The sequence below is a fragment of the Homo sapiens genome, chromosome 5 (genome assembly GCF_000001405.40).
Source record: "Homo sapiens chromosome 5, GRCh38.p14 Primary Assembly".
NCBI lineage: Eukaryota > Metazoa > Chordata > Mammalia > Primates > Hominidae > Homo > Homo sapiens.
The window spans coordinates 178,098,781-178,100,447 of NC_000005.10; positions in this window are offsets into that span (position 1 = coordinate 178,098,781).

The window sequence follows — 1,667 nt, forward strand, 5'->3', positions numbered from 1 at the left end:
AGAGACAGCTCTTTCACACAGAAGAATTCTAATTATTAAATGTAGAAGGACTAAGACAAATAGAAAAATCACCATCACAGCGGCGGAGTAAAACTTGCCGCAGGCAAGATCCACCAACTGACGCAAGAGAGTCGGAGAAAGATATTTGCATACTCTCAAAGCACCCTTCCCTCCCCCACCAAGATATGTATTAGTTAAAAGAGGAAAATAGCAATTTTATTTTTATTTTTATTTTTATTTTTTAATTCTTTTATTTTTGAGACAGAGTCTCGATCTGTCGCCCAGGCTGGAGTGCAGTGGTGTGATCTCGGCTCACTGCAACCTCCACCTTCCGGGTTCAAGTGATTATCCTGCCTCAGCCTCCCAAGTAGCTGGGACTACAGGCACCTGCCATCATGCCCGGCTAATTTTTGTATTTTTGTAGAGACGGGGTTTCACCACGTTAGCCAGGCTGGTCTTGAACTCCTGACCTCAGGTGATCCGCCCGCCTTGGCCTCCCAAAGTGGAAAATAGCAATTTTATAGTGGAGAAACCTGGCAGACACCACCCAACGAAGGGACGAAGGTGGCCATCACCAATAAGTTCCATGATCTATTGGTAACGTTTAGTCTGGATATGCACTGAGGGTACACCTCGGTGTCACCCTTCCCCACAGAGCCTCCTCCAGCATAAGCTGAGGGGTACTCTACAAAGCCTCTGACCAGCCCTCCTCAAAAAGTGAGTCTCGAAAGATGGGGAAAAACTGAGGAACTCTCTGGGACTGGGGGACACTAAGGAGCCGTGCCAGCTCAGTGCAATGCCAGGTTGGATCCCAGACCAGAAAATGGACATTAATGAAAAAACTGATTAAATCCATGTAAAGCTTAGCTGGGCCTGGTCTCTGGTGCCTGTAGTCCCAGCTACTCAGAAGGCTGAGATGGGAAGATAGCTTGTGGCCAGGAGTTCTAGACCACCTGGGCAACATGGTGCGACCCTGTTTCTAAATAAATTAAAAAAAATTTTTTTTGGCTGGGCGCGGTGGTTCACGCCTGTAATCCCAGCACTTTGGGAGGCCAAGGCGGGTGGATCACCTGAGGTCAGGAGTTCAAGACTAGTCTGGCCAGCATGGCGAAACCCTGTCTCTTCTAAAAATGCAAAAATTAGCCAGGCATGGTGGTGGGCACCTGTAGTTCCAGCTACTCAGGAGGCTGAGGCACAAGAATCACTTGAACCCATGAGGCGGAGGTTGTAGTGAGCCGAGATCATGCCACTGCACTCCAGCCTGGACGATAGAGCGAGACACTGTCTCAAAAAAAAAATTTTTTTTTCTTTGAGATAGGGTCTCACCTCTGTTATCCAAGCTGGAGTGCAGTGGCACAATCTCAGCTCACTCAGTCTCGACCTCCTGGGCTCAAGCCATCCTCCCACCTTGGCGTCTCAAGTAGCTGGGACTACAGGTGCAGCCAACATGCTCAGCTAATTTTTGTAGTTTTTGTAGTTTTTGTAGATGAAGGGTTTCACTGTGTTGCTCAGGCTGGTCTCATATCCCTGGGCTCAAGTGATCCTCCTGCCTCGGTCTCCCAAAGTGTTGGGATTACAGGTGTGAGCCACAGTGCTCGGCCAAAAAAAAAATTTTTTTTTTGTTTTTGAAATGGAGTCTCGCTCTGTCCCCCAGGCTGAGGTGCAGT